The 27,201-nt window shown below is 41.5% G+C and overlaps 1 protein-coding gene and 1 long non-coding RNA gene across 3 annotated transcripts in view, besides 3 other annotated features; one reads left to right on the plus strand and one right to left on the minus strand.

The window, feature by feature from the left end:
• The window catches only part of PTDSS1 (phosphatidylserine synthase 1), a 75,094-nt gene that overhangs the window by 2,343 nt on the left and 45,550 nt on the right, over positions 1-27,201 (plus strand). The window contains exons 2-4 of one of the 2 annotated variants that reach the window (NM_014754.3): positions 9,055-9,146; positions 19,865-19,909; positions 22,778-22,902. In NM_014754.3, the coding sequence (NP_055569.1) occupies positions 9,055-9,146; positions 19,865-19,909; positions 22,778-22,902 (262 nt within the window). The remainder of the gene's footprint in view (positions 1-9,054; positions 9,147-19,864; positions 19,910-22,777; positions 22,903-27,201) is intronic. The other variant, NM_001290225.2, reaches the window with a different exon arrangement.
• Positions 562-19,181, minus strand: LOC105375652 (uncharacterized). The gene is made up of 3 exons (XR_928431.3): positions 19,092-19,181; positions 2,012-2,093; positions 562-648 (listed from the first exon to the last, which is right to left on the minus strand). It is a non-coding gene; the product is annotated as an uncharacterized LOC105375652 (long non-coding RNA).
• Positions 4,157-4,451: a silencer, noted in NCBI's record as "tiled region #10382; K562 Repressive non-DNase unmatched - State 23:Low". NCBI's record gives its function as "represses a minimal TATA promoter and a strong SV40 promoter by Sharpr-MPRA in K562 cells {active_cell/tissue: K562}" and the evidence as "EXISTENCE:reporter gene assay evidence [ECO:0000049][PMID:27701403]".
• Positions 17,405-17,624: an enhancer, noted in NCBI's record as "active region_27662". NCBI's record gives its function as "activates an Ori minimal core promoter by ATAC-STARR-seq in GM12878 lymphoblastoid cells {active_cell/tissue: GM12878}" and the evidence as "EXISTENCE:reporter gene assay evidence [ECO:0000049][PMID:35858748]".
• Positions 18,075-18,124: an enhancer, noted in NCBI's record as "active region_27663". NCBI's record gives its function as "activates an Ori minimal core promoter by ATAC-STARR-seq in GM12878 lymphoblastoid cells {active_cell/tissue: GM12878}" and the evidence as "EXISTENCE:reporter gene assay evidence [ECO:0000049][PMID:35858748]".

Consider the following 27,201-nt stretch of genomic DNA (forward strand, 5'->3'; position numbering starts at 1 on the left):
GAAAATATCAATACATTAATCTGTCGGGATTATTTGTCATGAGGATTAAATTCATCTTTTTAGATAATCTGTTTAGCTCAGTGCATGGCAAGTATTAAGTGCTTAATAAACATTAGTGGTTATTACGATGTGATTTCATTGAATGCTACTGTCTTCTAATTTATATTTATTATTGAACGAGGATGTAGTATGCTCTGTAATTGAGAAGGATAAAAGCACTGGAAAAATGGACATTAGATAACATACATACCTGTTTGATGTTAACTTCAGTTTAACTTCATCTTAGGTGTGGGCTTGAAATAATGAAATTAGTGAGGGAGTTTCTCTGGAAATTAGAAAAATAATTATGGTATTTTGTTTTAAATAATGAGAAGCAAGAATGAGCCATTTGTTTCAGCCTTTCATTTTTAATATTATTCTAGGTCCTTTCAAAATAGGTTTCTCTTCCTCTTTTCTGATATAAAAAGTCACAATCTTCTGAAATTTCCTTTTACATCATATTCTGTCAAGGCAGTCAATAAATTGCAGCAGTGAAAGTATAAGAAATGAATACGAATTTTAACAGCTTGTCCAAAATAATAGAAGAACCATAATCTGAACTTCAGACTGTAGTCTCATCCAAAAATGTTAACAATTTTATTTCTTCCACTAATTTCATAAAGAGACAGAAATCACATAATGAAGAACTAATTAATAACAAGTTTCACTTTATATAAAATCATAAGCACCATTAATAGAATTCGTACTTACTAAATCTTACTCATTTTTTGTAATGATTTGTGACTTAAGTGGGGCATTACAATGATAGCTCTATATTCCTCCATAAAGACGGAAAGTAACGACTTCTTAAATGAAAATGTATCCTATGTTCTTTTGTAATGATTAACTCCAGTGCCTTATTATTTATTTTATAAGATTTTAGTTGGACAATTGTTCAGTGCAATTCTTTCAGTAAAACTTAAAAGATATGTCTTAAAGTTTGTTTTGCAAAGACTAGTTGTCTAAGAGAACGAGGAGATAGGATTCTTTTGGGATGTCATATAACCAGTATGTGAGAAACAGTACTTGGGTACTGTCACATGCTTCAGAGATCCAGCAAGAATTTAAAATTACAGAGGATTAGATACCTTGCACTGAAGTCTGAGACAAGTTTGGATTTGTCAAGTAGTTCTTTTGTTAGATGGCCCTTAGGTCAATTCCCTGTTAAACCATAGTATTTAAATATCTCCTGTCTTTATCACCATCATTAAAAATAAAGTTAGATACTACCTAATCATTTTCCTATTTGAAAAAGCTCATTTCCAGCCTGGACAACATGGTGTAACCCTATCTCTACAAACAAACAAAACAAAACAAAACAAAACAAAACAAAACAAAAATTAGCTGGGCGTGGTGGCATGCACCTGGAGGCTGAAGTAAGACGATCACCTGAGCCTAGGAGGCAGAGGTTGCAGTGAGCTGAATCACGCCACCATACTCCAGCCTCCACCCTACTCACTCGACAGAATGAGACCCTGTCTCAAAAGAAAACCAAAAACTTATTTTCCCACATTTTAGAATAAGTAGGCTGGGTGCAATGGCTTACGCCGGTAATCCTAGCACTTTGGGAAGCCAAGGTGGGAGGATTGCTTGAGGCCAAGAGTCCAAGACCAACCTGGCTAACATAGCAAGACCCCATCTCTATTAAAAAATAAATAGTATTTTTATAAATAAATGCTTACGCATATGTCTTAGAAGTTTGTTAGCAAAGTAGGGCAAGGAAAACTTTTGTCTCAAGCTCAGAGTATAATAATTACCTATAAGATACCCTCATATTTACTCTGCATTCAGGGGTTGGTAAACTTGGAAATATTGAATGCCTTTAGTTTAAAAAACTCAAGCTTTAGATTTAGAAAACACCAGAATCTATTAATTCACATTCAAAGAAGCCCACCTCTCCTTAAGAGGCACCTGCCATTAAACAGTAGAATCAGCCTTTGTTAGCACTTGTCCAACAAAAATTGTTACTTACCTAGAAGACGTTGCCTTTCTGCGGATTTGTGTACTTAAGTGATCATCAATTTGTCTATGCTTCATTTCTCCTCGATTTAGAACTAAGGAGACAGGCAAGGACAGGGAAATGGACAGACTGATTGATTGACTGATTGATTTGTTAATAATGGTTTTTACTTAATTTCCCTTATTGGCTTTGGAACTCCAGTTCACCGTCATATCATTGGGGCATACTTGTGGCCACCTGTATTATATTGCTTATGGATACTTGCTAGCATTCCCTGTTCTTTCCCTCTTGACCACATAAATTCCCATTAGAAAATGTCCCCTGATACTGCTGATTCAGTTGTCTTTATCCTGTTTCCTTTATATACATCATGTTCCTTCTCTCCCAGCAACAAAAGCCCTGCATGCCCTTGTTGGCTGACACTAGCAATGTTAAATGCTCATCTATAGTGATTATGGGCTAGGATTAAACCAGCCCTGGAGGTGAACATTGTGTTAGGTTGCACCTGAGGTCCAGTTATCAATGATTGTTAACATTTCTTTTCCCTGGTTACCATTTGAATCAAATTTTTTATTGAACTTAATGTTTTACATTTTTTCTTATACTGATTTCCAGAGTTTTATGTCCATAATACGATTTCTAATTTGTTAAAGGGGGAAATGTGCCATATATTTCTCTGGGGTCTACTGCAGTGAATGGGCACTTGGGTGACTTAAATATTTATTTGGCTTAGATGATGCCTCAGCCCACAGAGATTATATACCTAGGAACTGCTGCCTTTCAGACTCCTCTTTAGTAAGCAACCTTAATTCAAGTTCATCTGTTCTGAATAAACTGTGTTTAGCATTTTAGATGTAGTTCTATTACCAGATGTAACACAATTTATCTTGTGACATAATTCCTATTGCCCCAGATTTCTGTAGAGAAGTTACAGTTTTTCAGTCTTAACTAATCCCAGAACGAGGACTAGTCCGGTCAGCCTGCACTGCTTCCTCAGCCCTGGCATCCCATTTAATTCAATTAATTCAATTCAACAGTTCATAGTCCTCATTGCCTCTAGCCCAGGTTTCTCCCAACCTGGAGTTCACCATCTCATTTATCTTCAGCAGGTCTGATTGGGCCTTTATAGCTTTCGGGACTGTTCTCTTTCCGTTCCCAAGCCTTTGCTCAGCAAACTCCCAACCCTTTGGGATAGCTGACTCTCAGGCCCTGGCTTCCCCTCCCTCCAGTGCTGCCCCTGTGATCTTTTTAGACAAAATCATGGTCCCATCTTTCCCTGTTTAAAATTCTCGTTTATCTAATAAATACTTTAAAACATATCACCTTTCTCCTGCTTTACTTGATAACTTAGCTGTAATTCTTCACAAGGATTGTGACTTTCCATAAAACGAAATTAGTATGGTATGAAAGATAACACCAAAGCTGGTTGACATCGGTATTTCAGTAGATGCCTGTCACCTATAGGAAAGTACTAGCTGGACTCCAGCGTCCTTTGTAATGGAGTAAGTCTACTTTCCCACCTCTATCCCTCCCTCCATACACAGCACACCCAACACCCAACACCCAGCAGGCCCCGGCAGCTCACGTGTCCCATACCTAGGCAGGGCTGCCATCTCTCAGACTGGAAGGCACCTCCCGCCACCTCCTGCCCACACATGACACCACCCTTGGCATCCTTCACAATCCATTTGGATGGTTCCCTTCCAAGATACCTTTCTCAATTGTTCCAAGAAGCACAGAGGAAGAAATGTTTATATCCTTCCAAATACTTGTTATTATTGTATCTAACATGTCATAATATTAGTTTCTGTATCAGCTTCTTGAGGCCAGTTATCTGAGTCATCCCAGGATAGACATCCAGTAAATGCTGAATGAATGGAATGCATGAAATCATTTATTCAATAAGAACTTAAAATTTATCACCATTCTTTTCCTTTAGTTGATGTCTCACCCATAATTCTTAACAAGGATCATAACTTTCTATAAAATAGATGAATGTGGTATTAAAGATAATACCTAAGCTACTTAACATTGGTCTACCATGTAACCTGGGATTAAACTTTTTATTGGGAGAGATGATCCTTAAACAGTGACTCATCTAAACATGAACCTATAGGTCTTTATTTAAGGACTCATATTAAAAGTAATGAGGGAGAAGATGGGAGGGGGAGAGGGACAATTAACCTAGAAGCCTTAGGAATCATAATAAAGGTTAGATATTCCTGGCTGCCTGACCCCAGGGAGAAAGACTTGTCTAAAAGATTGTAGGCAAGTGAATGGACTTTGCTTTGGTTTCCTGAAGTTACCACCCCTCTGGTCAAATTCCTGTACTCAAATATTAAATTGAGACAGAATCGGAGTCAGAGTCCAGAAATTCTTTGGAGTGCAAACTTTTTTTTTTTTTTTTTTTAAACTCAGGGCTTTCCTGATACTTCCTGCTGTTAAGACTTTGTCTCTTTGGGTAGTTCCCTATCCTAGCTGAAACAATGCTCTGCAGAAGAAGCCAAGGTGTTTGAAAACTTGATTGGGATTTTAGATATTTGCTGATGGTCTCAATAGCCCTCTGTAGCCAACACTCTGCAAGGGGAGAGGGAAGTCGCTGCCAGTGGACCCTGTGGGTCAGGCTGAGACTCCCCCCTCACGTTACCTGAGTCACTGGCCTACTCTGTCATATCATCTTGCTCATTCTTGCCACCTACTATGGCAGGTGGATGCCTGCTGTGTGTCAGGGCATTGTGCCAGGCACTAGAGCTACCTTGGGGAAATGAGGTGGGACTTGTGCCCTGGGGAGCTTTCTTATTTTAATCTGTACATTTGGTATTTTCACAATATGTGGTCAGTGCTATGCTGGAGCACCTCCTAAGTTTAGCAGAGAGCGAGGAAGACTTTGCCTCCCTAAGCTTGTCTGTTTGTGTCCTTATTGGAGAATGCATAATAGCAATCTTGACCTACAGCCAGCATTCCAGAAGCCCTCATACCTACTTCCACTCTGCCTCTATTTGTGTGTGACTGTGGGCAAGATAAACCAAGAGCTTAATTTTCCTCATCCTTCAAACAAAGATAATATTGGCTCTGCCTTCCCCCACAGAACTGTGGAACTGTTAAATAAAACACCAGCTGTGAAAGTTCTTTGGAGTGTTCAGGGCACTGCAGACTGGGGCATTTTGTTGTTAGTAGCTGCAGTAGACCCAGGAAAGAAGTCAAGGCGGTGTCACAGCATCACAATGGAAAGCTTTAAGTCTTCATATTTGTTGTTGCTGTGAACAAGCAACATGTCTTAGTTGAGCAAGTACCCTTAGGCCAGGAAGAGTCAAGATGAGGATTGGGCAGCCCAGACCACAAGTCATGATCTTTCCTGAGAAGCAGGAACCACACTGCAGCCTCACAAAGCCGTAGGAGACAATTACAATCCCACCAAGGGGCCAATCACAGGTGAATACCCAGGCTTTTTTGAGGTTTGTCAGAGACAGTTCCTACATATGAAAAACATTTCCTTCAGGGCAAGGCTATACTAAGATAATGTCTCATTGTCCTTTTTTATCTTGATCCACTCAAGAATAAGGGCCATGTCTCTTTATCTCAGACCTCAAAGAGTCCCTACCCAATGATAGGCATTAACTAGAAGAAGGAATGAGTGGACGTAAATGAAGGGCATTCAAACGTTGTGAACTCATGATAGTAACGGACACTTTCTCTGTGCCAGGCACTGTTTTAAGTGCTTTACATGTTTTAAGTTATTTAATCCTCACACAACCCTATGAGGTAGAACTATTACCATCCTCTGTTTACTGAGGAGGAAACTGGGGCACTGAGAGGTTAAGTAATCTGCCCAAGGTCACACAGGCTGGTGGTCTGGCCCCAGCCTGTACCAGTCACTGCACTGTATGGTCTCCTGTAGGGGAAATAGCTTGTACTTTGGGGCCAGACCCTATCAGTAAAATGCAGATTATGATCATTTCCTGCTATAGAGTGTTACAAAGATTCAGAGAGCTAACATGCAAAGCCACTAGAATATAGTGGCTGTCCATGGATACTAGATCTTGTCCCTCATTTGGGGTCCACTCATGTGGACTCTGCAGCCAAGTTCTATTTCATGATTAACTATGGAAACTTCAGCATGTGGTTAAATCTCTGGATTATTCGGGGTTCAGAGAGGAGGGACTCACACCAGACCTTATAGAATGGCCCTGTGTGCTCAGGTTGCCCTGTGGCCAGAGGGGAGTTTGGCATCCTCACCTGTCAGGCATTCTGTTCTTTTTGTGCACCACCACCACAGACTGGTAAGGGGCTGTTCTAAATGAGGTGGGGACACCCTCTCTGCTCTCGAAACTCACAGTAGAGTGTGACATTGGGGCCTTTAGTCTGATAGGACTCACATGGCTTCGTAAACTCACTCTCCTATCCCCTAATCTTTGATTGCAGAAGTTTGATCTTCCCATACTGCATATTTTCAGTTTATCCAAAGACCTCACTGTCTTTCATTAATACATTTTTTCCTAATTAGACAAATATAAAACTGCCAACTTTTCAGAACCACCTGCTATTTTATTCCGTTTAATCAACATTTTCCCACCTCTGAAACTAGGCCATCCATTTGATCCTCTTTTTCTAATAAAATTGCTCAAAATTTACAAAACTGCCATTTCATTGGTTTTACAACCTAATATATTACCCATTTAGTTATAAATTTAGTGCTGATGTACCTTTTCAAGCATTTTGATTGGTAGATAATTTTAAATAGAGACTAATTTACTGATTTGCCATGGCCATTTATTTGTGGTTAATAACCCATTAATTAAAATTTTAGTTAATGTTTTTAAAGAGAATGATGTATTCACGTCGCTTGAAGTCCAAGATACATCAAAGGGTATGTGGTGAATACCTCTCTCCATACTTCTCCCCAGCCCCTCATTTTTCCTCTTTGGAGAAAACCAGTGTCACCATTTTTTTGGGTGGATTTCCAGTGACATCCTGTGCAAGCATAAGCATAAATTATAAGCTACATACCCATACACATTCCCCACCTTGTTTTGCACAAATAGTTGCTTATTATACCTACTATTCTGCAATTTGCTTTATTTACTTAATGATATCTTTTAAATTATTATGAATCAGTTGATTCTTAAAAAGCTTCCTTGTTTTTTTAAATGGCTGCCCAGCTTCCCATCACAAGACTGGACCATAATTTCTTTACTCGGTCTCTTTTTGGTGGACATTTAGATTGCTTCCAACTTTTTAAGAATACATGTAATGCCATGTGAACAATCTGGGATATATGTCATTTTTGCATGAATGAGAGTTTATCTAAAGGATAAATACCCGAAAGTAAAATTGCTGAGTCACAGAGCATATGCATTTGTAGACTTAAAATAATGCCAAATTGCCCTCCATAAAGGTGATTTATTTATACTGCTACCAGCAATGTATGAGCATGCCTATTTTCCTGTTTCTTCATATCCTCCCCAGCTCAGTCATTAAAGTTTTACCTTTATCAATAAGGTAGATTTTAAAAACAGTTTCTATTTTAACTTACCATGAGTGAGGCTGACCATCTTTTCACTTCTGAGAGCCTTAGATTTTTTACTCTGTGAACAAACCCTTCATATCCTTTGCCCGTTTTTCAATAAGGTAGACTTTTAAAACGGTCACTATTTTTAACTTACCATGAGTGAGGTTGACCATCTTTTCACTTCTGAGAGCCTTAGATTTTTTACTCTCTGAACAAACTCTTCATATGCTTTGCCCATTTTTCTATTTAGATTTTTTTACTTTGTGAACAAACTTCATATCTTTTGCCCGTTTTTCTATTTGTTTTTCTGTGTTAATTTGTTCTTCCTGTTAGTTGATTTTGGGGAAAATGCTTTGCATATTAAGGAAATTAGTCTTCTGTCTTGATATGAGTTATAAATTTTTTTCCCCCAAGTTTACCTCTTTTCCTTCGATTTTGTTACTGATTTCTTTGCCATGTGAATTTACCACTTCATGATTGTTGATTGTTTTGTTTTGTTTTGAGGTTCATTTATTTTTTTAATTCTCCAATTTCTTCCAGTATTTTTTAAAATTTTTTGAATCTTTAATTTTAATTTTTTGAATCTTCCAGAATATATTTATTATAAAGTATGAGTTACAGAATGAACCTTCTTTTCCCATGCAACAGTTGTTAATTTCAGCTTTGCTTTTATTTTGTAACCTACATATTGTGTGTCCTGTCAATGTCTTTTATACCAACCCTGTGCCTCTAACATAAGTCAGGCTGATTTAGGATGACAGATCATTTTTTCATGAGATAGCTTGGCTTGGGGGAACAATCATTGTCTTCAGTGTCTAGCAGACCTGGTTTTGAATGCCAGCTTAGCAATGTCTTACCTACACAACCTCAGACAAGTTACTTAATCTTTCTGAACTTTTGCAACCTCATTTTGTAAAATGTGGTTGATAATACTTCCATTTCGCAAACTTGTGATCATTAGGGATAATGTTTATAAACTGCCTGGTCAGTGCCTGGCACACAGTAGATAGATAAATGGGAGCTATTAATGTTGTCATCATCATTCCCGATGTCAATTATGTGATGTCAGTCTGAATGAGGACATTGTGTGCCCTCAGTGTGCAGCCATTCTTAAGTAAAAACTGGTGTTCCTGGAAATTGGATGTTGAGCCTCCCTACCTAAGCCAGAAGGCATCACAGGTACCCTAGTAAAGATCAGGCTGGCATTTTGAGGGCCACATTTATAACCTCTGGGCAGATATTCAGTTGTTAGGTGTCTATTAAAAGTGCACTTCACTGGAAGGTAAAGTGTGTCTGATTATATAGTCTGGTTTTATAATCAGGTCTGTGAAATTAACAGTCAGCATTAGTTTGTTAGTGCCGTTTGGACACATAATGATCTAAGAATTATTGTATGATCTGTATAAATCTCTTATTTCAGAACCTATGTTCAATCCTGTCATACATCTGGCAGTCCCCCAGTTTTTAGAACATGGAAATCTTCCTTCCTCTAGGTTTTCTATTTGGATCTGAAAGTAAATGCTCAATGTTGTTTTTCTATTTTCAGGGATGACTCTGTTCCAGAAGACAACATCTGGAGAGGCATCCTCTCTGTTATTTTCTTCTTTCTTATCATCAGTGTGTTAGCTTTCCCCAATGGTAAGTAATGTCATGCATTACCACATTTCTCCTATATTGTGCCTTTCTGGTTTTTTTGAGATGTGAGTCATCTAGAAGATGAAGTAAAGAAATAATCTGAGTTTTGTGTAGTGGTTAGGGGCACAGGCTCTGGAGGCAGACTGCCCATTCTGCCACTTCCTAGCCCCAGAGAAGCCTCCTAAGAGTGCTGAGAATACTTCAGTTTCCTTCTATAAAATGGAGAGAGCAGACAGGTACGGTTGTGAGGGTTAACTAAATGGGTGCACGTTAAACACTATGAACATGACTGACAAATTATAAGCTCTCAATAAATGTGGTTGTTTTTGTTGCTGTTTTTGTTATTATCAGTTGAGTCATAAAATACTCCATTACTGCTGAGTTCTTCCTTTTTGCTAAGGACAGGGTCAATGCTGTAATGAGTATTACTTAAATAAGTTGTCCCAAGTGATCTTTTATCACCATAAACTTTGCTGATTATGCATTTAGGATATGAATTTTCATCAGCAGGAAAAAAAGACAATGATTTCTGTGAATTTTACCCCCATCATGATTATGGAGTGAGTGAGGCAAAGCTTTTGTTTAAAAAGTAAGTTTGGTGTTCTGCCATGCTCATAATTCATCCCTTTCCTCCAAATTCTTCCTTAAAAGTTGTTTTCTTTTCTCTTATTCCCTTTCAGTACCTTTCCACTAGAATATTCTCTACTTGTTCGCCGTAGCCGTAGCCACTTCTAAACGCTCACTCTTGTCTTCTATTTTTTTTTTTTTTAACACCTATGACATTTGGAAATTGTTCCAGTCTTTCTTAGGGGTTATTCTCCATGGGCCGGACGTACTCGGGTTTTAAATATCATGCTTTAAGATGCATTTCTTTTGTAACCGCTCATGCTATTCAGTAGGCTATCATGTGTAATATAAGAAGCTCATTATGAATGTTATCAGATGCTACCTGGAAATGTTCCATGTCAAGGCCTTCAGGCTTCCTAAGATGGTGGCAGTGGAATTTTGTCCTATTTTTTGAGATACGAGTCATCTAGAAGATAGAGTAGAAAAAACAGCCGGGTGCGGCGGCTCATGCCTGTAATCCCAGCACTTTGGGAAGCCGAGGTGGGCGGATCAGCTGAGGTCAGGAGTTCGAGACCAGCGTGACCAACATGGAGAAACCCCGTCTCTACTAAAAATACAAAATTAGCCAGGCGTGGTGGTGCGTGCCTGTAATCCCAGCTACTCGCGAAGCTGAGGCAGGAGAATCGTTTGAACCCGGGAGGCGGAGGTTGCGGTGAGCCAAGATCACGCCATTGTACTCCAGCCTGGGAACAAGAGTGAAACTCCATCTCAAAATAATAATAATAATAATAATCCAAGTTTTCCATCGTAGTTAGGAGCGTCACTCTGGAGGCAGACTCATACGTAGCACTGCGTTTACAAGAACGTAGTGGTTTTAGTATGTAGCAGACTAGCATAATAATCATGCTGATAAAACCATGACTCTGAATCTCTCAGAGAATGAATTGTTCTACATAGCCAAGTTATTTGGGAGCTGAGTTTAGCTCTCCAACCACTCAAGCTTTTAGGTGAAAAAGAATTTTTTAATGAAAATCTGCATACCTTATGCAGATATGTCAAATGTAGTTTGGCTTTTCCATAGGGATTGATGGTTCTGGTAGTGCACAATTATCACGGTATGAAGACAAGTTGTGCATAATATGGGTAAGTCATGGAATAAAGGGGTGTTGACCCTGCTATTGAATTTTTAATTAAAAAAAAAAATTTTAGAGATGGAGTCTTGCTGTGTTACCCAGGCTGGAGTGCAATAGCTATTCACAAGTGTGGTTATAGGGCACTACATCCTCAAACTCCTGGGCTCAGGCAATCCTTCCGCCTCAGCCTCCTGAGCAGCTGGGACTGCAGGGATACATCACCACACCCAGCTAATTTTTTATATTTTTTGTAGATAGAGATGGGGTCTCACTATGTTGCCCAGACTGGTCTTAAACTCTTGGCATCAGGCAATCCTCCATCCTCAGCTGCCTGAGCAGCTGGGATTCCTGCTATCAAATTTACTGAAAAAAATCCCTGACGTCAAACAGCTTTTTGGCTATTTGCCAACTTTCCCTTCCCTCTCATTGAATTTTACGTTAGAGGAGTGCTTGGGTCTTATGTAGACCCTCCTCTCCTTCAAGAGTGCCGTATTGTATATGATATGGCATAAGTGGCCAGCCAAGGGTGGGTTCCCTGAGCTCTTTCTGTACAAAGGTGGCCTAAGAATACATCTCAAAGCAAGGAAATGGCAAACTCTATCTCAGGTTACATACCAACGCAAGGCTGACCACCACCAAAGCAGACATTTGGAGCCTCTAAAACATGACTAGGTGACTATTCAGATGGTAGTGACAGTTTATTCCCCATTCCCCTCAGCCATTCTACCTTCTGTATCCCGTGATCTGCTGCCTTCTTCTTTGTCATCACTCAATGCCATGACCATTATTGGTCTGTGCCCTCTATTCCTACTTTTCTCTTATTTCTCTTATGTCCTCTGTCCTTTTTGTTCCCTTATCAGTCAATCAGAGCATGATACGTGCATATGTCCTCAGGAAACTGATCAGTGCACAGGTATCAGGTCTGTTCTTTAAGTCTTCAGCTTTCCTTGACCTGTGTTATTTGTTGCTTAGTTCTCAAGGGTTACTTTTTCGTGGCTTTGAAAGTTTCTTTTTGGCTCCTTATGAAAAATTTGCTGTTTCTGAGCCCAGAGCTGTTTTAGAAGTGTGAGGATTCTAAAAGATTAGTCTCTCAATAGTTGTGATTTGTACAGGCGTCCCTTCTCTAAGTCTTTAGCGGGAGCTGAGTATTGGGGCTTCATTAGCTGATGTTTTTCTTGAGGTACCAAAGGCACTGAAGGTTAGGGGATTAAATCTATTTGATGTAACACTTTGTGTGATTTCTTCTGGCTTTGCCTCTGTTCCCCAATGAAGTCCTCTAATCTTCAAAGTTGACTTCAGCTGCTCAATCTCTCATTGTGGGACTGTGCTTTTGTTTTGATTCTGGAAAGATAAAACTGAAGCTCGGTTTCCTTATCCTGGCTGCATGGACTTTGTGATACGCACAAAGGGAGGAGGAGCCACAGAGCTCATCTAGTTCAGCCAGCTCAGTTTACCAGTGAGAAGGCTGAAACGTGCCACCATGTCCCCCAGCCTTTGATGTCAGCCTGTTCGCAGGGCCACAGCTGTGCATTTCCCTTCCGCGGTGCTGCTCTGGTCATATCTCATATTAGGTCCATTGCAAGGTGCTTTATCTCTGGCTTTCTCCATAATATGTTTTCTGTCTCCTGCTGTTTCTCTTTTTTTCTGTCAGTCTCTGGCTTGTCTTTTCCCCCATGGTGGGATCTTAGTTGGCCTGGACCTAGCGTGCTTTGCATCCCACAAAGGAGGTGGGTGGTGACTGAGTTGATGCTCCTCTGTTGCTCATGTGTTGTCTGTGACTGGCAGGAACTGACACATTGATCTGAGCCTTCCTACTGTCTCCTGTTTCCACTCTATTTCTGCCCTACCATCCTTTCTTCTCCTCCCGGGCACATACACGCGCGCACGCGCGCGCACACACACACACACACACACACACACACACACCACCATTCACCAAAAGGCAGACCATGCCAAAAATAAGGTTTCAGATAGGTATAGAAGGTATAAACAAGGAGGATGGCAGTTCAGTGTCCTGTGCAGGAGGGATTGGGACATTAGTCAGCAAAGGGAGGACTTGGATTCTCTTCAAGCCATGTATATATAGCAAACATACTGTGTTTACGTCGTTTGTTTTCTAAAGATCTGTTTATTCATACCTTACCTAAGAGTAGTAAAACTAACTTTTCCACATGAAAGAATGTTATTGAATATTTTCAAATTAGGGATGGCTTTGGAAGGTGCTAGTGGAGATGGTGGGGAGTTGGGAGGGCCCTGGGCAGGGTGCCCCTGAGGTGCGTGGCCTCCCCTATTAGAGCCCTCTCTCAGGCCACAGGCCTCCCCAGGAGCCCATGCTGAACGGCTGTCTCTGTGAGTGGAGTGTACATGCCCCTTCACACTCAGTCTTGTCCTCTTATTTTCCATTCTCCCCACCCTTGGCACATATTCTCAAGTCAAGTAGTGAAAATGAATAGGAAAAATGGAGCCCAAACTTGCCCTCTCCTTCACAGACAGTTTTGGGGAAGTGCCTGCAGTGGATAGCATGTCCGGAAAAATTTTCTGGCAACTTGAAATGCATTTATCCTTGACCTGTTAAATGCTGCCCTGCACGGCTGTGTATAGGCCAAAAGTGGATTGTGTCCATTTGTCTCATCACGTATGTGTGAGTTCATGTATGTTATCTATGTAGTAGACTTGGTCAACTTCTACAGGAAGGGAGCCTTGTGATTCTTTTTGTAGAGTCTAAATAACAAAAAAGACCTTTGACTTTCTCCATAGGATTTTATAATAGTCAGGATGCTTTTGACTGCAAGTGATAGAAAACGCATTTCAAAATGGCTTAAACACTAAGGAAATTCGTTATTTTCTTACGTAACAAGACGTTCTGAGATAGGGTGGTTGGCAGACTGGCTTATTCAGCGGCTCAGTGACCTGTGAAGACCCAGCTTCTTTACCCCTTTCTGTTCTGCCGTCTTCTAGGCTGCAGTCTGCCCTGCTGGCCTTGAGACAGCTCCTGCAGTGCCAGCCATGTAGTGGCAGGCAATGGCCAGCAGATGAAGAGATCATCTCTTCTCTTGTGTCTTTACTTGAGTAGAGACCCCTTTTCTAGCAATCCTCCAGCACACTTACATGTCTTTGACTAGGATTGGGCCACATGTCTCTTCTCAACCAGTTCCAAGGACAGAAATTTATAGTGTTTAGAGGAGTAGGTGTTCAACAGATATTTGTTGGCTAGAAGAATGACAGGGGACTAGGATTACCTCTGCTGGTTTAGAATCCACCCCTGAGCTATATGGCAGAGGAGTGGACACTCAAACAAAATTTTGTGTGACAATCAACAGGGTGAGTGGTAGGATTAGGTCCCAGAGTTCTTTCATTCAGTCCCATAAGCAGATGTGGAGGGAGAGGGCTGGCAGTGAGAGCAGGGGAAGGAGAGGGTCTGATGTCTGCATTTACACTTCTCTCCTGCCCTCTTCGCCTCTTCAGTTCTCCTCTTCATTCTCTTTTGGCTTCCTTACAAAAATGTTTTAATGGCTACCTTCATCCCATTATAGCAACTGACACTCAAGTGTATGTGTAATTTTAACTATACCACCCTATCACTGGAGTGAAATTTAGAAACCTATTTGAGTCTCCAGTTGGCTGGAGATTTCTTTCAACGGTCGACCTTCTGGTGTACATTTCCTGCTTCTGAGAACTCCCTTTAACTGTTGTTCATCCCCTTTCCACCTTACCACGCCCCCAAAACCAGCCCAGCCTTATCTGTACTTCAAGTGCCTGGCCCATTATTAACTTCTCATGAATATATGCTGAATTAAATAATAAATCCACCTGGAAAAAAGTTCACAGAACAAGACCTCTTTTTTCCCTTTTGTTGTCTGCAAGAGAAACACCATTCAGCCCCCCTTTTTTTTTTTTTTTTTTTGAGACAGAGTCTCACTCTGCCCAGGCTGGAGTGCAGTAGCACAATCTTGGCTCACTGCACCCTCCACCTCCCGGGCTCAAGCGATTCTTGTGCCTCAGCCTGCTGAGTAGCTGGGATTACAGGTGCATGCCACCACGCCCAGCTAATTTTTTTTTTTTTTTGTATTTTTAGTAGAGACAGGATTTCACTATGCTGGCCAGGCTGGTCTGGAACTCCTGACCTCAGGTGATCTGCCTGCCTCGGCCTCCCAAAGTGTTGGGATTACAGGCATGAGCCAGCACACCTGGCTGCACTCAGCACTTTTTTACGGTCTTTGAGGAGAGTGAAAAACTAGTATTTCTTATTTTTCCTGAGTTTATCATTGTTTCTTCTTCTGTGTCATTTGACTTCTCTTTGCTAAGATAATGATAATCATGTCTCCTTGATGTTTAGAAGTGGTCCAAAAGGTCACCATCTTCTAAATTTAAAAAAAAAAAAAAAGTTCCTTTCTCCTTCCATCCTGTGTCCCCTCCTTCACTACTTTTTGTAAAAAAAAAAAATTTTCCAGCCCAGCGTAGTGGCTCACGCCTGTAATCCCAGCACTTTGGGAGGCCAAGGTGGGTGGATCACTTGAGGTCAGGAGTTCAAGACCAGCTTGGCTAACATGGTGAAACCTTGTCTCTACTGAAAATACAAAAATTAGCCAGGTGGGGTGGCACATGCCTGTAATCCCAGCTACTCAGGAGGCTGAGGCAGGAGAATTGCATGAACCCGGGAGGCGGAGGTTGTAGTGAGCCGAGATTGCGCCACTGCACTACAGCTTAGGCAACAGAGCAATACTCCATCTCAAATAAATAAATAAATAAATAAATAAATAAATAAATTTTCTTTTCCTTAGGTTTGAAAGTTGCCTAGAGATCATTTTTTTCACCTTCTCAAATTTTCCTAGAAGAACTCTAACTAATAATAATCAAAAAGAGAAGCTGACTAAGAGGGTCTGCCAGGGAGCCTCTGGCCTGAGGATACAAATGTTAGCTGTTGGACAGGCAATGTCTGATTTTTATTAAAATACTTTTATTTCCCTAAGGTGAAGTCCTGTGAACTTAATTTTTTCTAGGTATAACAGTTTCTGGTGAGTCAGGCAATGATCTTATTTTCTAATTTCTGACGTAGATTTTAAAATGCTAGCTCTTCTCATGAAGACATTGGTTTCTAGTTCTTTTGAAATTAATCTTGCTCTTAATATAAGATTGAAAATGATGTATTCTAGGCCAGGCACGGTGGCTGACACCTGTAATCTCAGCACTTTGGGAGGCGGAGGTGGGCGGATCACTCGAGGTCAGGAGTTTGAGACCAGCCTCGCCAACATGGTGAAACCCTGTCTCTACTAAAAATACAAGAATTAGCTGGGCGTGGTGGCACATGCCTGTAATCCCAGCTACTAGGGTGGCTGAGGCAGGAGAATCACTTGAATCTGGGATACAAAGCCTGCAGTGAGCTGAGATTGAAGCCTGCAGTGAGCTGAGATTGAAGCCTGCAGTGAGCTGAGATCGCGCCAGTGCACTCCAGCCTAGGTGACAGGGTGAGACTCGTCTCAAAAAAACAAAAAAGAAAAATAAAATGATGTATTCTAGGTGGAAGGAACGGTAAATAAAACACATAGTTTTTAAATGTCCCTCATAAGAAAACCAAAACCCAGCGTTCGTTGCTGCACCACTGCCCTAAGAAGTCTTCCCCAATTCTCCAACATAAGCAAGAGAGTAAGTAACCAAACCACAGATCCAAATTCTCCCAGGCAGCTTTTATCAAATCCGATATAAAGCACAGGTAAGGAGTAGGAACTCCTGTGGAAAGCAACCATGAGGCTGAGCCCTTCTAATAACCTCAGAACCATAACAATGGTCAGAGAAGAAAAGGAAGCCTGCCTTTACAAGACCACTGAGAAAGTAGTCAATAGTCTGTTGGGAAATAAGATCTGTGGGGAAGGCATTGAGATGACATGAATGTTCACAGGATGCTACAGATGGGGCTCATGCCGGGCAGGTGATGCTGTGGAATGCGGGGCTCCTCCTCAGTTGCATCCCCACCCCTGGCACATACACCCTTAGGCTCTGCAAAGGTGACTTGACTGGAGTAGCCAGGTGCAAGTAACCTAGTGAGCGTAAGTATCAGGACTTATAATCTAGAACATGCCAGCCTCATCCTCGATTTTTTTTAAAAAAGTAAAATGATACTTTTAGCAATACTGCTGTCTGACAGTAAAGATTGCACTGTTAGTATATAATGCTACTAAAATGTACTTTTTAAAATACCACTTTAAAAAATTCAGAGTTTCTTCTCAGGAGGCAATGGGCAGTTATGACAAGGCTCACACTCGCAGGGCGGCAGATTTGATGGTTGAAATCAAACCTAGACTGGGTTTTGAAGTTAGTTACTGAAAGGGTCACCTTACATTCCAGGGCCTTATCTCACCTTTTGTAGGCAAAAGTTACCAGTGGTTCCCACCTCCCTGGATTAGGGTGGTCCCTGGCTTTTATCTCTAGAGCTATCAGTTCCCTGCCCTTTCCCTGGTCTTGCTTTTCCTGAGCCTACTTATCAGTTCCACATTATGGTAAAGCCTGCGCCATGCCTTTCCCCCTGTTGCATCGGCTCTAAACACTCCTAGCTTGTTTCTTTCCCCTCACTCTCCTGGTTCTGAAACCAGTCCGCGCTCAACCCTCAGATACCGTCTCTAACCCTTTCCTCTTCCTGAGCTGACCCAGTTCTGTGAAAGTTCATAGGAAAGTCCCCAGGTGCTCCTCATGACTCAGCCTGGTGACACAGGAGGCTCTGATGGAACTAAGGAGGACTCCATGAGCTGCATGACCCCGGGCAGGTTCCTCTGCCTCAGTACCCTTATCTGTAAAGTGGGAGTAATGATGACACCTTTGTCACTGAGTCCTTATGACACTGTGTGGGGGTGTCTCATTCCACAGCCTGGTGCATAGTAAGTGCTCAGGAAGGTACTGCTGACTCCTGTCGTTATGATTGCTCTTGAGAATAACATTATAGAATTTTTAAGTGCTGATTTTGTCACAAGCCAAATAATAGGTCATACAGTTTTAGAGGTGAACCTTATAAGAGGAAACTATACAGAAAACTGACGTCCCATTTTATATCTAAAAGGTTAATTTAGTGTTATAGATAAAGTAATATTTACAAGCCAGGCAGCCACCAAAATACAGAAGTCACTTATGGTGACAAGTCAAGAGCTATCGCCTACCATGAGTAAAGAGGAGCATTTGGAAGTGAAAATAACTTAAAAGATGATAATTTTAGCCATGAGTTTCCCAATGACTTGACAAAAGGTGATGGTGTCACATTACCTGGCGGGGGATCCTGGTTTATAACCTTCACTGTGACTTTCTGAGAAAGAAGCAGCTGATTTTGAAAAGGAATATAGGTAGTCCTCACTGTCTGAGCCCTCACTATTAGAACTCAGAAATCAAACAGATTTAGATGAATTTTCAATAAACCCCTAACCATCTGAGTTCTCACTACCTGCCATCCAAAACGCAGGAACCAAACGCAAATGCATTTGGATAAAGCAGAGTCTCTCATGAACCAAACTCACCATCCGAACTGCCACCTAGGCACTGATAGATTTGAATGGTGGGGGGTACTTGTAACTGATTTTCATAATAAGAACTTGACTTATCAAAAGAAAGTAGTTAAAATATATTTCAATGTGGTCTTTTTAAGAATATATAGATGATTTTAGAATGAATTCAGGAATAAAAATTGCAGCAGAATGTTTGCCTCAGATAGGATTCAAGATTGCAAGCAACAGAAGCTGACTGTGCTTATTAAAGAGCCTGTTAAAGACTAGGAGTGGCTCACAGTGTCATAGGCTTGCTTGGAAACCAACCATAGTCTGAGCTTCCAGAAACAGGCACCACCCACAGAGCTGTTCTAAGGAGGAAACCAACCATATTCTGAGCTTCCAGAAACAGGCACCACCCACAGAGCTGTTCTAAGGAGGAAACCCCAGCAAGCATGGGCTATGGTCTGCCCCAGTGTCACTTCTGCAATGGATTCTAAGGGAGTGCCACTTTGGATGGCCACCACCTGCCTACTGCCCCTACTGGCCAGGGCTAGAGAAACAGAGAGAGAGGAGAGCTGTACCTACTCCCTTTACTGTCACTAGCTCCTGAGGCCAAGCCTGGCATGATTGTCACTGCAAAATGAGCCCTACCTGTAAAGAAGGCTGGGAAACAAGCTCTGGTGTCTCTCCTGGGGACATGGGATTCATAAAGTTGGAAATTCCGCAAGTGTAGGAAGGCTGTTCAAAAGGCGTGGGTAGACCTGCATAGAACAGGTACTCACCAGAATGGTGCTTTTCCATAGCTGTGAGGTGTAAGGTCAAGGCTCAGCTTGCTTTCTTCTCCCTCTTCTGCTTTTTTAATGAAAAAAGAGAAAGTATTGGCCTATCACTTGTCTTAAGGGAAAGTTTTGTCCTATGAGACTTTTGTTTCAGTTGTGTGGAATCTGCATGTGTCTGAACTGGATTGCCATGTCAGAGGTGTTTTGTCAGCACAGGTCATAATGAAAAGCCACATGATGTTTCTGTTTCCTCTGTTATTTTTCAGTCTCTCTCTCTCTCTCTCACACACACACACACACACCCACACATGTGCACACACGTACACACACGCATGCACCCACATGCAAACGCACACACATGATGATGACTGTGCTGTCCAGAGCCTCTTTCCCTGGAGCTCCTGGGCAGCTGGGACATTTTACTTGTTAAGGTACAATATGCATCACACACACTTAAGCCTAGCCTGATGACCCACTCACTATTACAACATTGTTTCCATGGGAAATTATGTTCTGACTTCTCAAGACAAAGCTTTATAAAAAATCTCTGTTGTGGAGAGTGGTGCCTGTGATGATTGTGGTGACAGTCGTTATAATGTGGAGAAAACATTTCAACCAAACTTTGACCTCAAAGTGTTTATGTAGAAAAAAAAAAAAAACTTTTAACAGTAGAGAGCTTTTTCTTCTTGTTATCTGTATGGAGATCAGCAGCACCTTAAGTTTTAGCCTTCTCTGAAACCAGTTCCTTCTAACTTTATAATGTTATTTATCTGCAGGTCCGTTCACTCGACCTCATCCAGCCTTATGGCGAATGGTTTTTGGTGAGTTTATATTAGCAATGTAAAAGGATGTTCTATTTTTTTAATCTTTTTTCTGCTTATCACTTTAAGACTTTTACTTGCTACTCTCAATAGTTAAAACTTTATTCTAGCTTTTTGCTTTTTGATGTTCCTAATATACATGTTTTCTTAAAATTATTTGACACAAAATAAAGTGTTGAGGATGACTTAAATTCTCTTACACATGAACTGTTTCAACTCCACATGCCTCCTTATGTTGTTGTCTCTTAATGTACACAGGATTTGACTTAAGCAAATATCTCTTGTTTTCCTTTATGTGTTTTCATAGTGCTTTTTACTAGTGCAAGCCCAAGAACTTATGATGAGCACATTTGTCTTGTGAGCATCTGGAAGGGAATGAAAACAAAGCAATTCAATTTCTTCAGTTTTATGAATGAGAAAGAACTTGGAAAGAGAAAGACTTCTGACAAAGAACCCTAATTTGAACTAAGGGTTAGAAATAAGCATATAAATATTGGATGTCTTATTTTTACTTAATTTTGTAGTCTAAATAGTGAAATCACCTAAAGGATTTAAAATGAATCTTCAAAACTTTGGATATTGGCTTCATCTGACCTAAATAAGTCACCAAATTATTTTAGGTTTGGAAAATGTAATCTTATGTAAAAATGTACAAGAACTCTAAGAAATTGCTATTTTGCTATAGGCTGCCTATTTTTCTTTCAGCCTTCAGAGCTTCTAGGTAACTCTTAGTCTCTTTGAATTGATTGGTGAACTTTTCACTCAGCAGCCATTCACTGAGTGAGCTGTGTGACAGATGCTGCTCTGTGCCCTGAGGCCACCAGGGAAGGCCAGACAGACAGGAGCCTGCCCTCAAGGAGCTGCCCTTCCACTTGGAGACAAAGGACAGCTAGTAAACAAACTATTACACAAATCAGTAATCAAAAAAATATCAGCTATCTGGAGTTAGTAGGAAGCTAGTTAAGACCAAGGGAGGTGACAGGAGCTGGTGTCTGGTTTAGCTTGAGGAGTGATGGGAGGCCTGAGGGAGTGATGCCAAGTCTGAAACTGTCATACAAAGAAGGATCCAAGCCTGCAAAGATTCTGGGGGAGGGGAGCATCCCAGGCAAGAGGAAAAGCTGCCAAAATGGCCCACAGCTAGAAACCACTTCCAGGCCAGTGTGGCCCCAGTATAGTGCACCCTGGGAGAAGAGTAGGAGAGAAGTCAGAGAGTCATCGGGCACAGATGTAATCATGGGGACTGTGGGCCAGGGTAAAGAGCAGGGCATGAAGGGCAGGGGGAAATCATGGGAGGGTTTTTCCTAGAGTGACCTGATTCCATTTACATTTTCAAAAAGATAGTCCTGGCTATAACGTGCATACCTCCCATTGATTCAATAGTGCTGTTTGAAGTTATAAGTTATTTTCAGCTATTTGGACACATCTGAATTCTTCCTATTTCAAATGATCTATGGTAGGTAGTAAGCAGTTTTATTTCCTTCTTGAGAGCCTTTGGGAGCATGGAGCCCTTTGATAATCCGATGAGACCTATAGATAGACCCATTCCCTATGTGTGCATCCATGGACATTGACCATGCACAGCTCTGCATATAGTGTCCAGGGCTTCACAGACCTCGAAGCCCAACCAAGAACTCCAGATTGAGAATCCCTGCACCACAGATTCTTTCTGTCCTAATGTAATTATTCAAGAGGATCATAATTATTAAAAAGTGTAGTGGGGGGCGTTTGTGGTGAAAATTGGTAAAAAATGGGTGGTGCATAAGTGCAAACTGAAGGCAATTCTCATATCAACTTGCCTAAAAAATGTGCATTCCCTGGGCCCTAGGATGCACAATTATGGGCTGGCCACATACCACCCGGGCCTCCCTTGAACTCCCTGAGGCCAGGAGAGGGGTGCCTGTTAGAAGGTCTGGCACTATAGCGCTTGCAGTGGATTTCATTCCAGCCACGGACGTGCTCTCCTCTGGAGTGGCTCACTGGAGATTAGTGCTGAGCCAAGTTTGGATGGATGCTGTGATCCAAGGTCATTTGTATCACGGTCTCTAAATGTCCCGCATAAACATTCTAATTCCAATGAGTTCAAGGGAAAGAGAAACCACAAAACCCCTCGTGATCGTTTCTGAAATCTCTCTAAAACGTATTGGACAGGGTTTTGCCTTCTAAAAGTGCATTGTTAACATTTCTTTTTAAAATGACACATAGTGATTATTAGGATAGCAATTATGAGATGATAGAACAATAAAATAATGCCTACACGGGGTAATGTGGAGTGTAAGTCTCAAAAAAGTGGCCCTGGGCCACCTCTTGAACCTTACACTGGTAGTACTGTCCACACCCAGCCTTGCCCTCCTCCAGTCCACTTAGTTGGCTTTTTAAAATGTTACCTAGATCATCTTATTTCCCCACTTAACTTACAATCATATCTGAAATGTTGGCCGTGGCCTTTAAGCCCTGATGGTCACTTCAGGGCCGCCTTGCTCCATTCCCCTCTCTGCCAGTGCTCTAGCCACATACGGGGTCCTAGATATTTCTCTTTTCGGAAACCGACCTGCATGCTGTTCTCTACCTGAATGTTGCGTGCAATCCTCACACCCACCCCGCACACCCTTTGCCTCATGATCCTTCAAGTCTCAGTCTAAGTTAGCATCAGTTTCTCAGAGATGGTTTTCTTGACCACTCTCAATCTGAATTAGGACTGTGTATCAGACTGCCTCATCAAGGGAAATCCCAGATTATAAGAGGAGTCTTGACAGGCTGTGCTGCAATCTTAGTGTCTGGTTTTGGCAATGCCATTCGAGTCTAATGTGTATTGTGTGTGTCTGACTATTGGATCTCTTCTAAACTTCAGCATGTTTTTGTTTCTCTCAGGACTCAGTGTGCTCTACTTCCTGTTCCTGGTATTCCTACTCTTCCTGAATTTCGAGCAGGTTAAATCTCTAATGTATTGGCTAGATCCAAATCTTCGATACGCCACAAGGGAAGCAGATGTCATGGTATGTACTTGTCAGTGGCCTCTTGGAGAAACTCGTAGACTCTTTCTTGGGTGTAAGAGGTAATAGACTTGACATTTTAAATTGTTCCTTCTCTGTATTTCCTGTGTAGTTACCTAAAAACCAGGTCTCTGGGAGGGTTGTTGAGTTGCATGGTTGTCCACAGGTGATAGAGTTCAGGGAAAGAAAATCCTCTCATTACGCAAAGGGGTCTGTGAGGAAGAATGCACACTTTATCGTCAGACAGCCTTGGGTGTGAATTCTGCCTCTGTTACTTGGTAGTTGTGGGACTTTGGGCAAAGTACTTGTCAGATTATTCCATTTTTTTGTAAGTTGACATAGTAATACTTACTTGGGGGTTATTGTGAAGTGAACAAAGTAGCATTATCTGTGGGGCCTACTGCGAGGTCTGCCATGGTGCCCCCAACACCCCATGTTGTTGGGCCATGCCCTGGGTCACGGTGGCTGCCCCTGCACCTGTCAATGTCACTCTCAGCACCTGCACTCTCTGGCCTTGATGCCTTGATCCTGCTCCACTGCTTGCCACAGAGAGGCCAGTAGTCATGAATTAGTTTATTTCATTTGTTACTATTATTTTTATCGAACCATACAAAAAAATTTTATTCTTGGCTAAAACGACTCTATTTTGGCTTTTACTGAAGAGACTAATTATGTGGGAAAAACCAACTATTTTTCTCTTCACTGACGGTGAACACTTCTGTGACCAGATGTGTAGGTTTTTCCCACACCAGCCAATTCTCTAACTTTCCTGACACCTGGAGTTAGCGTCAGATCCCACTAGTTAAGGGCCCAGTTCCATAAGACTGCCCACATTTCAGATGCCACTCGCAAGTCCAGGCTGTCACCTGTGCTTCTGACCAATCAGCTACAAATCAGGGGTTCCCACAATATCCTCCTTGTGCACAATCATTTGCTATGATGGCTCACAGAACTCAGGGAAATATTTAAGTTTGCCGGCTTATTGTAAAGGACATGATAAAGGATACAGGTGAATGGCCAGATGGAGAGGTACCTAGGGTGAGGTCCAGCAGAGTCCTCAGGGCAGAAGCTTCTGTCTCTGTGGTGTTGGGGTACACCACCCTCCCAGCATGTGGATGTGTTCACTAACCTGGAAACTCTGAACCCCAGAGTTCAGAGATTTTTATGGAGACTATCGCATAGGCATGATCTTTTTTTTTGAGACAGAGTCTCACTCTGTTGCCTAGGCTGGAGTGCAGTGGCACAATCTCGGCTCACTGCAGCCTCTGTCTCCCAGGTTCAAGCGATTATCCTGCTTCAGCCTCCCGAATAGCTAGGATTACAGGCGCCTGCCACTACACCCGGCTAACTTTTGTATTTTTAGTAGAGACGGTGGTCTCACCACGTTGGCCAGGCTGGTCGCAAACTCCTGATCTCAAATGATCTGCCTGCTTCGGCCTCCTAGAGTGCTGGGATTACAGGCATGAGCCACCACGCTTGGCCTTTTTTTTTTTTTTTTTTTTTTGAGATGGTGCCTCACTCTGTCGCCCAGGCTGGAGCACAGTGGTGTGATCTCAGCTCACTGCAACCTTGGCCTCCCAGGATCAAGTGATTCTCCTGCCTCAGCCTCCTGAGGAACTGGGATTACAGGCATGCACCATCACACTCGGCTAATTTTGTATTTTTAGTAGAGACAGGGTTTTAACGTGTTGGCCAGGCTGGTCTCAAACTCCTGACCTTGACTGATCCACACATCTCAGCCTTCCAAAGTGCTGGAATTACAGGTGTGAGCCACCACTACTGGCCCATGATCAATTTTTTTTTCTTTCCAAGACGGAGTCTCGCTCTGTCACCCAGGCTGGAATGTAGTGGCACAATCTCGGCTCACTGTAACCTCCACCTCCCTGGTTCAAGCAATTCTCCTGCCTCAGCCTCCCAAATAGCTGGGACTACAGGCGCCTGCCACTACGCCTGGCTAATTTTTCTATTTTTAGTAGAGACAGGGTTTCACCATGTTGGCCAGGCTAGTCTCAAACTCCTGACCTCAGGTGATTTGCCCTCCCATAGTGCTGGGATTACAGGTGTGAGCCACTGCACCCAGACCCCCATGATTTTTAACTCAATCTCCAGTCTTGCTCTCCTTTCCGGAGGATGGAAGGTGGGACTGAAAGTTCTAGGCTTCTAATCATGGTTTGGTCTTTCTGATGATCAGCCCCAACCCAGGAACTTACCAAGTCACCTCATTAGAACAAAAGATGCTCCTATCACCCAGGAAACTCCAAGGAATTAGGAGCTCTGTGTCAGTAACTGGGGTCAAAGAACAGATATTAGAACAAAAGATGCACCTGGCACCCCTATTGGTCAGGAAATTGCAAGGGTTTCCGGAGCTCTGGGCTAGGAACTGGGGACAAGGACCAAATTATGTATTTATTATGAATCACAATATCACACTATTTTATACTATAATGTGTTCTTTTCCAATGTTTTTTAATCCCAACATTTGGTACAGGTTAATTTTTTTCTGAAAAGGAGAACGGGAATTTGGGCCATAGATGGGTTTGCTTTGACAAACAAGAAGTAACACAAAGGGACTTCATAAAAGGTCCAAGAAATAATCATTCCCCCATGGTGACATTGGTCAAATCCTTCTTAGAGTGGTATTTAAAGATTGTTATCTATAAATTTTTTAAGGGATATGCTTAAAGCAAAAATAAGAATGCCAGAAATTATTTATCAGTCTTGGGGGAGAAAGTCTGTTTTGGAATTTTTTTACTCTAAGGGAGAGAATGACGGAGGTTGACTTCTTAGCCTATGATGATGATGATAATGCAGATGACGGTTATGAGAATAAGGGCAGTTATTTATTATGAATTGTCTATGTCAGACACTGTGCAGGGCTCTTTATATTCTACATAAGCCTCGTGCATGCATGCTAGATGTTCATATCACCATTTTACAGGGGAGGAGATGGAAGCTTAAAATGCAGTATCTCACTGAAAACACAAGCCGATGGATCTCTCTGGCGTCAAAACCTGTGCTTTTCATTTGGAGTGTGCTTTCAGTATATAGTTATAAAAATAAGTGCTTTGATGCTCACAGGAGCCTTAGGAAATAGAAATTGGGAGAAAGATACCCCAAGTGTAATATTTTCCCAAACATCTTTCTTGCATTTTTGAACAAAAGTGGTCACATTGCAAAGTAAACTGACTTGCAGGTGGATGTGCTTGTGTGCCTCTGCTGATCCAGTTCTCACAGCCAGTAGGAGGAGATTGAATCGAATGATAATGCTCTTGACACCTGGCTTTCTTAAGAATTTGACATCACAGGGACATCCAGATGTCAAAGTTACAGCCCCAAGTAGCTGAACCTGGCTTTTAAACTCTAGTTTTCAAGTATTGGCTAAATCTTTCTTGCCAAAGTAAAGCACGAGGCTGTGTTCAGCCTGTAGAGTTCTAACTGGTGCTAAAACAGCCTCATCTTCTCCATCTCTAATCCCATCCCTTTATACTTCTTTAAATTGTCTTTTGCAATTCTAAGGACCTATTCATTAGTGGTTCCTTTATGCAAGACAGGTCTATAATTCCTGGCTTCCCAGAGTCCCTACTCTCTCCACTCCTTCATGTTGCTACCCATTCCTAATCTTGATAGACCATGATCCATGCCTGGTATCATACATTGAAACTCAGACTTCATTTTCCCTTAGAATTAATATTATAAATTAATATTATAAAATATTATATAATATAAATATTCATAAAATATATATTATAAATATTATAAACATTTATAAAATATTATAAATCCCTTAGAATTAATATTATAATATTATAAATATTATAAATTGGATCACTGAAATCCCGTTAGAGGCAGTTTTTTGTGTAATTGAAAAGTTGCTGCATTTCAAAATATTGATTCTATTCAAAAATATGTCTTTAAGCTTCAATACTGGGTTGTCTTGAAGCAGCAGTCTTTGGCTAATTAATGCTGACCCAGCTTTTCTTCTGCATAAGACACCATCCCATGCTGGTGGGAGTGGGGGAGAGGGTGGGCATGTTCCCTGTCCTCTTAGAGCTTAGAGTCTACTAGAAGGCAAATTAAACAAATAATTGTTGGCTATTGAACCCTAAGACAATTTCAACAGCTTTTTAGAATTTTATTATGAAAAATTTTAAACCTATGCAAGAGTAGAGAGAATCTATAACTTCATGTACCCATCACCCAGTGTCAGTATTATTGACACAGGCCCAAACTTGTTCCACCTTTTCATCCCACATCCTGGAATATTTTGAAACAGTTCTCAGGAATTAAACCTAAAATAGATGG

The sequence above is a fragment of the Homo sapiens genome, chromosome 8 (genome assembly GCF_000001405.40).
Source record: "Homo sapiens chromosome 8, GRCh38.p14 Primary Assembly".
Lineage (NCBI taxonomy): Eukaryota > Metazoa > Chordata > Mammalia > Primates > Hominidae > Homo > Homo sapiens.